Source organism: Homo sapiens, assembly GCF_000001405.40.
Source record: "Homo sapiens chromosome 22 unlocalized genomic scaffold, GRCh38.p14 Primary Assembly HSCHR22_UNLOCALIZED_CTG3".
In the NCBI taxonomy this organism is placed as follows: domain Eukaryota; kingdom Metazoa; phylum Chordata; class Mammalia; order Primates; family Hominidae; genus Homo; species Homo sapiens.
The window spans coordinates 108,098-121,953 of record NT_187388.1 but is presented as its reverse complement, the minus strand read 5'-3'; the positions used below and the strand labels follow the sequence as shown (position 1 = coordinate 121,953).

Sequence of the window (13,856 nt, the reverse complement as noted above, 5' to 3'; positions counted from 1 at the left end):
CGAAGGCCGGCCAGGCGCGACCTCTCGGGCCGCACGCGCGCTCAGGGAGCGCTCTCCGACTCCGCACGGGGACTCGCCAGAAAGGATCGCGGCAGAGGGACCGCGGCCCGGCCCGGGGACCGCTCCCCGGCACCCGGGGGACGGGGGCGGGACGGTCCCCGGCTCCCCACGGGGACTCGGAAACGAATTCGGCCGCCGCCTCAGACGGCCAGGATGAGCGCGGACCCGCGACCGGGCCGGGAAGGGCGTCCCCAGCCTCCCGCGCCACGCGCGGCGGGTCCCCGCGGGTCGCGGCTCGGGCCTCGGGAGCTACGGCGCGCTGGTCGACCGGCCCGGGCAGCCCCACGCCCGCCGCGGGCCCAGAAGCGCAGCGACAGCCTCTCCCCCACATAAACCTGCACGCCAGAGCTGTGACTCACAAGCGACGCGCCACAGCTCTGGCGCCACCGGGCCAGCCGGGCTGACGACCGCGGGCTTTCCGGAGCTCTGCCTAGCTCACAGCGGGGACGGTCCCCTCCCTCGGCAGCTGCCACCGCAGCTCCGGAAGCCGAGAGCACGATCTCAAAGCGGCCGCCAGATGGAGCCCGACAACCGCCGCGGACGTCAGCGAGACAGATCCGGCTGGCAGGGCGGCCCGTGGACCGCGAAAGCGAAACCGTGAGTCGAGAAGCTCTTCCCGAGGCCGAAAACGCAGCCCCTCTGCCCCAACCCCACACAAACGGTGCCCAAAACGCGTCTCTGCCTCGACCGCGACAGAGTCAGAAGACAACCCACGGCGCGTGGGTGTTTGGAGATGCCTCTCGGAAGCAGGGAGGGAGGGAGGGAGGGAGGGAGGGAGGGAGGGAGAAAGAACACACAAGGACTCGGTCGCGGGTCGCTGCAGACACACGGAGAGGCAGAATGCGTAGGCTCTTCCGGAATCCACGCAGAGACAGACGGGGGGAGGGGAGTGGGGAAAAGAGACAGATGGCGAAAGGGAAGGAGGGAGGGAAGGGAGCAGGGAGGGAGGGAGGGAGGGAGGGAGGAAGAAAATGGAGAAAAGAGAGACAATTTAGAAAACGTAGATACACAAAGTAAACTTCTGAAACACTCCATTTTTTAAAAGACAGACGGGAAGGAAAGAAACACGAAAAAGAGAGAAAGAATGAGGAAAGAAACGAAGGAAAGAAGGGAAAAAGAAACAGAGAGGAAAGAAAAAAGAAGGAAACACAGGGAACGAAAGAGAAATAAAGCACGAAGGAAAAAAGGACAGAAAGAGAGAAAGAAGGAAAGGAAGAGAGGAAGAAAAACCTAAAGAAGGAGAGAAAGGAAGAAAGGAAGGAAGAAAAACACGAAGGAGAGGAAGAAAGAAAACAGAGATAACTACGTACGCTCGTTCATTTACACACATAAATACGACGCTTTTCATACGTAAAATAAACGTCTTTATCGACGATCCCTTCTTTATAGAGCGATGTGTATTTATTTGTATAACACAAACACCTACATCTATCATACAGAAGTCTATTTCCATACAACCGATACGTATTTACCATACGCAAGAGTATTCAATGCAGAGATACACGTTGTCGTTGTTTGCATATAAGCGTACAGAAACGTTTACATTAATACATATAAGTAAACGCGTGGAAACGAAAGAAATAAAAAAGCGAAATGAGTCAACAGGCCGGGCACGGTGGCTCACGCCCGTCATCCCAGCACTTCGAGAGGCCGAGGTGGGCGCATCACAGGAGGTCGGGAGTTGGAGACCAGCCTGAGCAACATGGAGAGACACGGCGTGCCTACTAAAAACACAAACATCAGCCAAGCCAGGCGTGGGGGTGCCTCCCTGTAATCCCCGCTAATCGGGAGGCTGAGGCAGGAGAAGCGCTCGAACCCGGGAGGCGGAAGGTGCGGTGAGCCAAGATCGCGCCATTGCACTCTAGCCGTGGAAACAAGAGTGAAACTCTGTCTCAAAAGGACGAAACAGAAAGAAAGAAAGAAAGAAAGAAAGAAAGAAAGAAAGAAAGATAGAAAGAAAGAAAGAAAGAAAGGAAAGAAAGAAAGAATGAATGAATGAAAGAAAAGAAAGCAAGAAAGAAAGAAAAAGAAAAGAAAGAAAGAAAAGAAAGCAAGAAAGAAAGCACGAAAGCAAGCAAGCAAGAAAGCAAGAAAACAAGGAAGCAAGAAAGCAAGCAAGAAAGAAACAAAAGAAAGAAAGCAAGAAAACAAGAAAGCACGAAAGCAAGCAAGCAAGAAAGCAAGAAAACAAGGAAGCAAGAAAGAAAGAAACAAAAGAAAGAAAGAAAACAAGAAAGCAAGAAAGCACGAAAGCAATCAAGCAAGAAAGCAAGCAGGAAAGAAACAAAAGAAAGAAAGAAATCGAGAAAACAAGAAAGCACGAAAGCAAGCAAGCAAGAAAGCAAGCAAGAAAGAAACAAAAGAAAGAAAGAAAGAAAGAAAGAAAGCAAGAAAGCACGAAAGCAAGCAAGCAAGAAAGCAAGCAGGAAAGAAACAAAAGAAAGAAAGAAATCGAGAAAACAAGAAAGCACGAAAGCAAGCAAGCAGGAAAGCAAGCAAGAAAGAAAGAAAAGAAAGAAAGAAAGAAAGAAAACAGGAAAGCAAGAAAGCACGAAAGCAAGCAAGCAAGCAAGAAAGCAAGCAAGAAAGAAACAAAAGAAAGAAAGAAAGAAAGAAAGAAAGAAAACAGGAAAGCAAGAAAGCACGAAAGCAAGCAAGCAAGCAAGAAAGCAAGCATGAAAGAAACGAAAGAAAGAAAGAAAGCAAGAAAACGGGAAAGCAAGAAAGCACGAAAGCAAGCAAGCAAGCGAGCGAGAGAGAGAGAGAGAGAGAGAGAGAGAGAGAGAGAGGCTGGGCGCGGTGGCTCACGCCTGTCATCCCAGCACTTTGGGAGGCTAAGGCAGGCGGACCACCTGAGGTTGGGAGTGGGAGACCAGCCTGACCAACATGGAAAAACACCGTCTCTACTAAAAGTACAAACATCAGCCAGGCACGGTGGCCCATGCCTGTAATCCCAGCTAATCAGGAGGCTGAGGCAGGAGAATCGCTTGAACCTGGGAGGCGGAGGGTGCGGTGAGCCGAGATCGCGCCATTGCCCTCTAGCCTGGGCAACAAGAGTGAAACTCTGTCTCAAAAAAAAGAAGAAGAAGAAGAAGAAAAAGAGAAAGTAATAAAGAAAGAAAGAAAGAAAGAAAAGGCAAGGCCAGGCAAGGCCAGGCAAGGCAAATCTACCTGCTTTCACTACATCTGGGGAGAATCAGGAAAGTCCCCAACAACAACAAGGCCTAAAGTGGAGCTGCCATCTGTCAAACCCGAGCGGAAGAGTCCACGCGGGTTAAAGACACGAAGAAAGACAAGGAAACCCCTGACCAAGGAGAAGAACAATCGGGCCCAGCCAGGGTCTGTCTCCCGGGGTTGTCTGGGCAACCAGGGAGGGCGGGCCTCCGAGACTCCGTCTCGAAACATCAATCACGATAATAACATAAAATGAAGTTAAAAAAAGAAATCACGCATAATTCCTAACGTGTTTGAGGCCTCGAAAGGCGAGAGGCGTATGTGTACGTCACGGTGGGGTTGTTCTGTTTTGTTGTTTTTTTCTTTTTTCTTTTCTTCTTTTTCCCCAGAAACTCACTTTTTAATTATTTTGTTGCGTTTCATTTTCATTTTCATTTTGCCTTCAAGTCCAGCGTCGCAAGCATGGCAATACCCCTTCTCTACTAATGTTCAAAAATTAGCAGGGCATTATGGCGCGTGACTGTAATCCCGGCCACTCAGGAGGATGAGACTGGAGAATCGCTTCAACCCGGGAGATATTTGCTGCAGTGAACCCAGTGCACCACTGCATTCCAGCCTGGGTGGCTGAGCGAGAGTCCGTCTTAAAAAAAAAAAAAAAGACACAAGAAAGAACAGACCAAAATACTCCATTGTTTCAGAACATTTCCCCAGAAGACCCCAAACGCCCTGAGTCAGGTCAAGGAGGTGGTGCTTTATTTTACTTGTCTCTCTCTCTTTCTCTCTCTCTCTCTTTCTTCCCTAACTGTTATTTGTTTTTGAAGCATACATGTGCAAGATTGTTTCATAGGTAAACTTCTGAGTAGGGGGTTCAGTGTGCCGATGATTTCCTCACCCGGATTCTCAGCGCAGTCCCCTACAGTTTTTGTGTTCTGCTCGTTTTGCTTTGTCCTGAAGCTGTCTGTCCTTCCACACGTCCTCCCTCAGGTAGGCTCCTGCGTCTCTCGTCCCCCTAGTTCTTCGCATGCATTCTCATTATGTAGTTCCCACTTATGTGTGAGAACACGCGGTATTTAGATGATTATTGTTTCATCTTCGGTGGTGGTGATGAAAGAGGCATGACACTACATCGACCCTTAGGACGCTCCCCTCCATCCCCACCCTACACCCCCTCCCCACGCACACCGTCTTTCCTGCACCCCCTCCTGAAACCCAACAAACGAAGAAAGACAGAAATTAAAGTAAGAGTTCAGCCACCAAGGCGGTGGTGGGGGGGAATCTCAAACGGTGAGCAGGCGATGGGAGTATGGGGATGTCATGGCCTAGGTAGCAACAATAGGGGACCGACTTTCCAGCCCCCACCCCACACTCCCTAATCCTCAGCCATCACTTTGGAGTTCATCCAAGGAAGGCTGGTCTCAGGGACTACATACCTAACCTCTCTGGGCTTCTATAGGATAAGATGTTATGGCCAGACGCGGAGCTCACGCCTTTAATCTCAGCACTTTGGGTGGTCAAGTTGGGTGGTACGCCTCAGGTTGGGTGTTCTAGACCAGCCTGACCATTATGGAGCTACCTAGTCTCTATGAAAAAAAAAAAATTAGCCAGGCCTGGAGGTGTTTGCCTGTGGTTTCAGCTACTCGAAAGGGTGAAGACTGGAAAATCTCTTGAACACAGGCGGCAGAGGTTGCGGTGAGCTGAGGTCACGCCACTGAACTCCAGCCTGGGCAATAAGAGCGAAACTCCACCTGAAAGACAAAAAAAAAAAAAAAAAAATGAAAAGGAAAGAAGATTTTATGAAGTATAGTTTATACCAATCGGCTCTCACTGTACCTTGAGAGATTCCGAAAATCGCTACTTAATGACCGAAGAAAACACCAGCTAACAGGTTTTGGGGAAAATACACATCTTCCTAAAATTGGTAAAATCTACTTCAACTGAAAAGAGATAAGTAAAGTAAAAACTACAAACAAAACAAAACGTAAAAACAAACACAGACCAAGGCATCGCTTGTGGAAATATTATGTAAGCAAATTGTCACTTTTTAGAAAGCATTTCTATGTTGGGCAAATACCAGTAAGGCCCAGGGAAGATCTGTGAAATGTGGCAGCATGCACCATTTTAAGGGCTGAAATCCATCTGTGTGTCTCCTTTCATCACAACTCTTTTTTTTGGGCGGGCGGATACCTGGAGTTCATGAGTTCAAGAGCAGTCTGGGCAATATAGCAAAATTCTGACTACTAAAAAGGCAAATGTTAGCTGGGTATGGTGTCACACAGAACTATGTTCCAAGAGGAAGCATCACAAATACCCATGGTCCGCAGTCAAGAAATGAACTGAGTTTACAAGTTTGTAGTGTCATTGCTGCCTCGAAAGGTGAGATGCATATGTTTGTGTCACTGCGGGTTTCTATTTCTTCTTGGAAACTCACTTATTTTTAATTACTTTTTTTTTTTTTAGATGGAATCTGACTCTGTCACCCAAGCTGGAGTCCAGTGGCATGATCTGGGCTGACTGCAATCTCCATCTCCCGGCTTCAACAGATTCTACTACCTCAGCATATAGAGTAGCTGGGAGTAGAGGTGTGTGACACCACACCTGGTTAATTTTTGTATTCTTCATACAGACAGAGTTTGACTATGTTGGCCAGGCTGGTCTCAAACTCCTGACCTCGTAATCCTCCCACATCCGCCTAGCAAACTGCTGAGATGAGAGGAGTGGCCCACTGCACCCAGCCTACTGGTTTATTTTTAAAAATAGCAATTTGGGTCGGGCGCAGTGTGTCTCGCCTTTCTATATCAACCAACATTCTTTCTCGAGTCTGATGACCTGGGATCTCCCAGCACTTTGGGAGGACGAGGCCACAGGATTCCTGGAAGTTGGAGTTCAAGACCAGCCTGGGCAACATGGGAAAACCCTGTCTTTACTAAAAAGGTAAAAGTTAGCTGGGTATGGTGGCACGTGCCTGTTATCCCAGCTACTCGAGAGGCTAAGGCAAGAGAATCGCTGGAACCTGGGAGGCGGAGGTTGCAGTGGCCCGATACTGCGCCATGGCCTGACCAACAGAACAAGACTCCATCTCAAATAAATTAATAAATACGTTAGTTAATCGAAAAGTTTAAAAAGAAAACTTCAAGGACGTTGCAGGAATGCACGGGAATGCTTCTCTCATTCCTAAAGATCAGAGCAGAAACACAGTACCATCAGGTTGAGATACAGGCCATTGTGAATCTCTTCTCACTGTGCTCAACTGACACCAAAGAAGGGCAGGTTTCCATGCCGCCCGTTCATCATCACCGCTCTCGTCAAGTATAATTGCAGAGTCATGACTACACAGAGATCTCTCAACCCACCAACTGCGTCCTTACTTGTATGAGTGCAGTTGAAAGAATAAACAGGGCATTTAGCGAAGTAATCATCATATGTTCTTTTGTCTCTCGTGTCTCTCATGAAACCAATCACATTCGTGGACCACTTTTTCCCCACCCTTCGAACATCCACAGAGCACCAAAATAAAAGAGCAGTGAATGCCTTTTACGCGACAAGGAGGAAAAACAACAAAGTGAAAGTCACAGAGGCTTGTGATACACAGGGAGATACAGAATAAGGAGAATTTTCCAAAATCCACACAAAGACAGACAGACAGAGGGATGGAAAGAAAGAAATGAAGAAAAGAGAGAGAGAGTAAGGAAGATCAAGAAAAAGAAAATAGACAGACAGAGATGTAAAGGGAAGAAAGATGAAAAAGAAAACCAAAAGACATAGAAACAGAAAAAAAAAGAATGAGAAATGAGAGAAAAAAGGGAGGAAGAAAAAGAGAGAAGAAAAAGAAAAGACAGAAAGAAAGAGAAAGAAAAAAAGAGAAAAAATGAAGGAAATAAAAAAGAGGGCAGGGCATTGTGGCTCACACCTATAATCCCAGCACTTTGGGAGGCTGAGTTGGAAGAATTGCTAGAGCCTAGGACTTTGAGACCAGCCCTGGCAACACAGTGAGACCCCGTCTCTACTGAAAAAGAAAAGAAAAGAAAAAAATCCGGGCATTATGATGGCAGGCGCCTGTGGTCCCAGATCCTTTGGAGCCTGAGTTGAGAACATCGCTTGGGGTCGGGAGGTGGAGGCTGCAGCGGGTCTTGGTCAGACAAATGCTCTGCAGTCTGTTTCCGAGGCTGTCTTGAACTCCCGAGCTCTAGCGAACTGCCCTCCTCAGCCTCCGAAATTGCAGCCGCCACAACCAACGGTCCTGAAGGTGTCATTGACAGATTTTAGTAAACAGGGTGTTTCGCCATATTGCGAATTTGAACCCAGGCATTTGAAGCTGCAGTGACCCAAAGTCGCGCCACTGCACTGCACTCTGGGTGATAGAGGAAGACTCCATCTCTAAATAATTACATAAATAATAAAAACAATAACAATAATGACAAACAATAATACAAAGAAATAATAAGCAGCAATAATAATAAACAAACTCGTGGGAGTGAAAAACTATAAAAGGTAATTTAGATCACAGTTAATTGCAGTTTATTTCAAGGAATTTTTTTCTTTAACCTGTCTCTCTTACCTTCTGAAACACTCAGACTGGAGGGCAAGGCATCATCACGGCTCACTTCAGCTTCGACATCACAGAATTAAGTGATTCCTGTAGTCTCAGCCACTTGGAAGGCTGAGATAGGAAGATCACCTGAGGGAGTCCTGGAAAGTCGAGGCGGCTGTAAGCCGAGATTGCATTCTTACACTCCAACCTGCCTCAAAAACTACAAATAAATAAAAGGTAAATGTAAAACAACAGCAACTTCAGTGTGTAGAAAGAGGAGCAAGAAAAATAAAAGAAAAACAAAACGAAGAGAAACTGAAAGTACTGTGGAAACAGTTGGAGAGGAAGAAACAACGCAAGGAAAAAGCGACACCTAGTGAATGCGGGCGGTACTGCTGCTGACCAAAGTTATCTGGTCTACCTTAGAAATCCCAAGTTGACGGTCAAGTCCAACGCTTGCCGCGGACATCAGGTGGGCACGGCGACCAGAGACCTGAGGACTGGGGCCTTAGGCCCTGGTCCCAGGTCTTCCAGACAGAGAAGCCCGCGGCCGTGTCAACTGGATGTTGCTTGCTTCCCGCAGTCGGCTGATTCGCGGGCTGATCGGGAAGCCAAAGGCCAGCATCTAATCGACAGGGTCCACCCTAAAGACCAAATGTGGTGCTCGCGGAGGGAAGCGATCAGACGCAGTTGGAACCTTATCACACAGAACCGGCCCAGGTTTGAGGCCGTCTAACTTGGCAGACCTGCCAGCCATTTCCCCGCAGTCCGCTGGTTGACCCGGACAGAGAAGAGGAGTAAAGACACAAGGGTAGTGACTAGCTAGTCTTTCATCCCAGCACCCCTGAGGCGGGGAGAGGGACTGTGACCCCAACAGCCACCCACGGGCATCGCGCGAACACTACTCAGGCAGGGACTGCAGGGGCAAAACCTCTGACACCCGCGCCTCAGCCATTCGCACGAGGCTCGAAGAATCCGGTCCCAACTCGTGGAGGAATTCCCAGCGGGATGGGAGAAAGAAGCTCAATCAGAGAGGTGGAACATCGAGCAGGGGCGCCAACCCTACCTCGCAACCCCCAGCGCTGCATCTTGGAAAGCCTGCTGTTGGGGAACGACCCCTCCCAAATGCACGGCCGACGCCAATGTTATCTCGCGAGAGACAGCCCTGCATGCCCTGGGGCTCCGGGGCGGGGGGCCTGAGCAGGCCCGGGAACTAAGTCCCCGGGGGCAAAAGGAGGAAAGAAGGAAGGTAGAGGTCCAGGGCTGAATTATACAGGACACGCCACAACGCTAGTTTTCCCGCACACTGGTTGAGAGCCCCTTGTGTGGAGGGCTGACTTTCAATAGGTTGCAGTGAGGGAGTTGCTCTGCTCCATAGGAAACCCTGACCCAGAAGCAGGGCGTTTACCAATAGTTTAGTATCAGATTCCCCATAAGCATGTTATGTGACGGGCCAGGGAGCAAACGCCTTTCTGGCCGCACCCCGTTTTTTAGGATGGGGGGCCGCACCCCATTTTTTAGGATGATAAGACCGGAGCAAGGTCTTGGCGCACAGCGGGGCGGAGCCTCCGGCCGGTGGCAAAGGCTGGGGACTGGCTATCTGAGGCCAACCGAGTCTTGCCAGCGCTGCTGCATCCTTTCTTCTGGGCGGGATTCTGATTTAGAGGCGTTCAGTCATAATCCCACAGATGGTAGCTTCACCCCATTGGTTCCTCAGTCAAGCACATACACCAAATGTGTGAAACTTTGATTCCTCTCATACTCAGCAGGATTACCATGGTAGCAACACATGGGCAACAACACATGGAGAACACACGCAGTAAAACTAACCTGTCTCACATGGGTCTAACCATGATGTTTTCCAGGGCATGCACTCCGCTTTTAGATGAATCCATTCCACTTTGCCTTGCCCTTCACAAAGAAAAGAGAACTCGCTGGCCACAGTGGCTCACGCCTGTAATCCCGGCACATTGAAAGGCTGAGGCTGACGGATCACCTGATGGCAGGAGTTCGAGTCCAGCGTGGCCAACATGGTTAAACCCTGTCTCTATGAAAATACAAAAATTAGCTGGGCATAATAACGGGTGCCTGTTAACCCAGCTCCTCGGTAGGCTGAGGCAGTAGAATCGCCTGAAACCAGGAAGCGGATGTTGCAGTGAGCCGAGATTGCTCCATTGGGCTCCATCCTGAGCCTCTAAGCGAGACTCCATCTCAAAAAAGAAAAAAAAAAAAAAAAAAACGAGAACTCTCTCTAGGGCTCCCACCTGCTTTTGCAGAATCAGAGAATGTGATTGCCGGCAAAGGTTGAGGGGAGGGCGCAGGGGAAAGAAGGGGGAGGAGCAAAGGCTGGAGACACAATAGCTCACTCTGGAACCTTTCCAAGTTTAGTGGGGACAATTTTGAAACTAGCTGACTCTGGAAATTACACATAATTCATAGTATTATTGCTTCTTTGAAAGGTGAGCGGTTCATGATTTTTTTTCTCAGCATTTATTCATTTACTTGTAATAAGTGCATTTAGTTTCATACAGTTTACATACAACCGGTTTGACTGTATCTGCAGAGATTTAGGATAGTTTTTCTTAATGGTAAGCCCTAGGGTGGAGCTACAATGCACTTTCCGTTGTGAACCCTGAAAACTTGAGAGAGGTCTCAGTTAATTTAGAAAGTTTACGTAACCAAGGTTCAGGACGCATACCCGTGACAGCCTCAGGAGGTTCTGAGGACATGTGCCTAAGGTAAACAGAGAACATTATCGTTTTATACATTCTAGGGAGACATGAGACATCAATCAAAGTATGCAAGATGAACATTGGTTCGGTCTGCAAAGGCGGGACAAATTAGCAAACGCGGGAAGACTGAAAGTGAGGAGGGGACTTCCTGGTCAAAGGTAGTTAAGAGACAAATGGTTGCATTCTTTGGAGTTTCTAATTAGCCTCTCCAAAGGAGGCAATCAAATATACATTTATCGCTTGAAACCAGGAGGCGAATGTTGCAGTGAGCCGAGATTGCTCCACTGGGCTCCAGCTTGAGCATCTGAGCGAGACTCCATCTCAAAAAAGAAAAAAAAAAAGAGAAAAGAGCAGAGGAGTGACTTTGAATAGAATGGCAGGTTGGCCCTAAACAGTTGCCAGCTTGACTTTTCCCTTTACTTTAGTGATTTGGAAGCCTCAAGATTTATTTTTCTTTCACACACACAATTTTTAAAACCCAGGTAGAACTGTTCATGCTTACTAAAAAAAAAAAAAAAAAAAAAAAAGGAAGAAAGAAAAACAAATGATAGCCTAGGCGCCCTGGCTTATTTCTGTAAACTCAGCACTTTAAGAGGCTGAGGTGGGTGGATCATCTGAAGTCAGGACTTCGAGAACAGACTGGCCAACATGGCGAAATGACGTCCCTACTAAAAATACAAAAATTTGCTGGGAGTAGAGGCAGGCACATGTAATACCAGCTAGTGGGGAGGCTGAGGCAGGAGAATCGCTTGAATCCAGGAGGCAGAGGTTGCAGTGAGCCGAGATGGCGCCATTGAACTTCAACCTGGGCTACAAGAGCGAAACTGTCTCTGTCTCTAAATAAATAAAGAAATAAGCATTCCCAGCCAGGGTGGAGGTTTCCTAGGCAACAAGGCATAGGGGGAGGGACAGAAGGAGTGCCTCTGAGGTCAGGGTGGGGCCCGAGAGAAACCAGTTTTCCCTGGCTGTGCGCGGGCGGCCAGAAGTTTTGGTGTGATGCCTCCATTTTCAATAACAGTGACCGCTAGGTGACGCCAAATGACAACCGAACGACGTTCCAGCCTGGAATGAGTGGGGTCACTGGTTTAGGGGTTGTCAAGGAAGGAGAAAGAGATGGAGGCCCATGGGGTCGCCGGTCTTCTGATCTCTCCTGGATTACGTTTCCGGGCCCGAGACACCCTCCCAGACAATCCCCGCAGCTCTTCAACCAGTGTCCCTGGGGAAAAGATGATCAGTTCTCAGAAAACATTCAGACAGGCAAGAACATGCGCTCACGTAAGCACATGACAAGTATACAACTTTATATGTGATAGTGAGCTTTCTTTTGCAAAATGTCTTCGTGATGCATTTCACTACATAGTATTGTTGAAAACATCAAATTATAGGAGTGAGCACAGTGGCTCAAGCCTGTAATCCCAGGACTTCTGAAGACCAAGGTGGGAGGCTGGATAGAGGACAGGAGTTTGAGACTAACCTGGGCAACACATCGAGAGAGATTACCACTACTTAAAAATATTGCCCAGCATTGTGGCACATGCCTATATTTCCAGCTACTCAGGAAGCTGAGGCAGGAGGATTGCTTAAGCCCAGGATTCAACGTTGCAGTGAGTGAGCTGTGAACAGGCGACCAGAGTTTTTTTGTTCTCTACAGCTTACATTTTCAATAACGGTTGCCGCTAGTTGTCGCCCAAAGACAACTAAAACACGTGTCATCCTGGAATACGTGGGATCCCTGATGGAGGGGTGGGTGAGGAAGTAGGAGGGGACGGAGGCACACGGAGTCGCCCATTTTCTCATGATTCCCGTTGGACTACTTTTCTGGGTGCAGAGCATCCTCCCAGAAAGTCCCCAAAACCATTCAACCAGAGCTCCTGAAAAAAACAGTCGCACTCTCTGCCCATCGGATCATCCGGAATTTCCATTTATCCATTGAGAAGAATGCTCCATTGGAGTTTGGCGCAGGTTACGGTTACAGGCAGGGGCTGCCTCAGACAGAAGTCTAGTCTACAGAGTTTCACAGTAGACCCTAGGTTCAATCTCTCCCAAACTCAGAGTAGCAATATCTGTCACAGTAGAATGAAGTGCATGAAATGCGTGCTCCGAAGAAAGCGTGTTTCACACAGATGATTTGCACACTTATTCTTGTCCCTAGGCCAGTTGTTTCTTCCAAAATACCCATTACTCAATCGTTCACCCTCTCGTGAACCACTTAGGAATCTTGTTCTATGAATCCTGGAGCTTCAATATTTGACATCTTCAGAAGAACATGAATGCTATCCTAGCCTGGTAGCAATAAGGTACCATTTCTCAGAAAACACGCACCTATGCACACAAGCAAGCATGTATACACACATGCCCGCATCATATCTATACAATTTTACACTGTGATAGTGAGCTTTCTTTCCCTAGATAACTTCGTAATTGCTTTCGCTACATAGTATTGTTTAAAATATCAAATTATAGGTGCTGGGTGTGGAGGTTTGACTCTAGTCAAAGCACTTTGCAGGCAAAGCTGGGAGAATCGCTTGAGGTGGGGAGTGTGAGAACAGCCTGGAAAACATAGCAAAATCTAATCTCTACTAAAAATAAAACAAAATTAGTTAGGCGTTGTGGGGTGCACCTATAGTCTCAGCTACTTAAGAGGTTGAGGCAAGGATTGCTTAAGAACAGGAGTTTGAGATCCTATGATACTCACTCCTGCAACACTGCTGTGGCCCATGAATTGGCTACATGACCAATGACACGGAAGGAACATGATTACAAAATTCCTGGCAAAAAAAAAAAATAGAAAAACTTTTGTGGATAAACTTCTCTCACTGGGTAAATTACATAAAGATATGTCTGTTCTATATGAATCCCTACTAAGGGGTAACCGTATCAGAGCATGATTTTGATAATGATGTGGACAGAATGTCTTGTTCCGTGAGTATGGGTCATTCTTACTTCCCTGTCACCCCCATCATCACCCAATGGGCTTATAAACAAGGTGAACATAGTAGCAGAAATAGAAGCAATGCACGGGCTAAGCAATATGAACTTTGAATCCCAAAGGCCAGTCTGGCTACAGTCAATTCTGAATGTTTAATTTGACAGCAGCACAGATCTACACTGAGTCTTTGATATGACATCATTTCCAGGGTGATCCACCAGGCACCTGGTAGTAAATTTATTACGTTGAATAACTTTTATAATATAGGCGGCAACAGTTTGTACTCACTGGAGTAGGCTCTTACTATGGATACAAATTTGCTTTCCCTGGGTGGAATTCTGCCAAAACTACCCTCCATGGACTCACAGAATCCCTCATCCATCCCTATGATATTCCACTTAGCATTGCTCAGACCAAGAAACTCACTTCACAG

General features: G+C 47.6%; 1 long non-coding RNA gene across 5 annotated transcripts; it reads right to left on the bottom strand.

The window, feature by feature from the left end:
- Window positions 1–1,439: 1,439 nt before the first annotated feature.
- Window positions 1,440–10,081, bottom strand: LOC107987392 (uncharacterized). 5 transcript variants are annotated; one of them, XR_007068548.1, is made up of 4 exons: window positions 9,759–10,049; window positions 9,593–9,673; window positions 7,790–7,982; window positions 1,440–4,979 (listed from the first exon to the last, which is right to left on the bottom strand). It is a non-coding gene; the product is annotated as an uncharacterized LOC107987392 (long non-coding RNA). The 5 variants fall into 5 exon arrangements; XR_007068549.1 differs by having other exon boundaries at window positions 9,593–10,081; XR_007068546.1 differs by having other exon boundaries at window positions 7,790–9,673.
- Window positions 10,082–13,856: the final 3,775 nt, after the last annotated feature.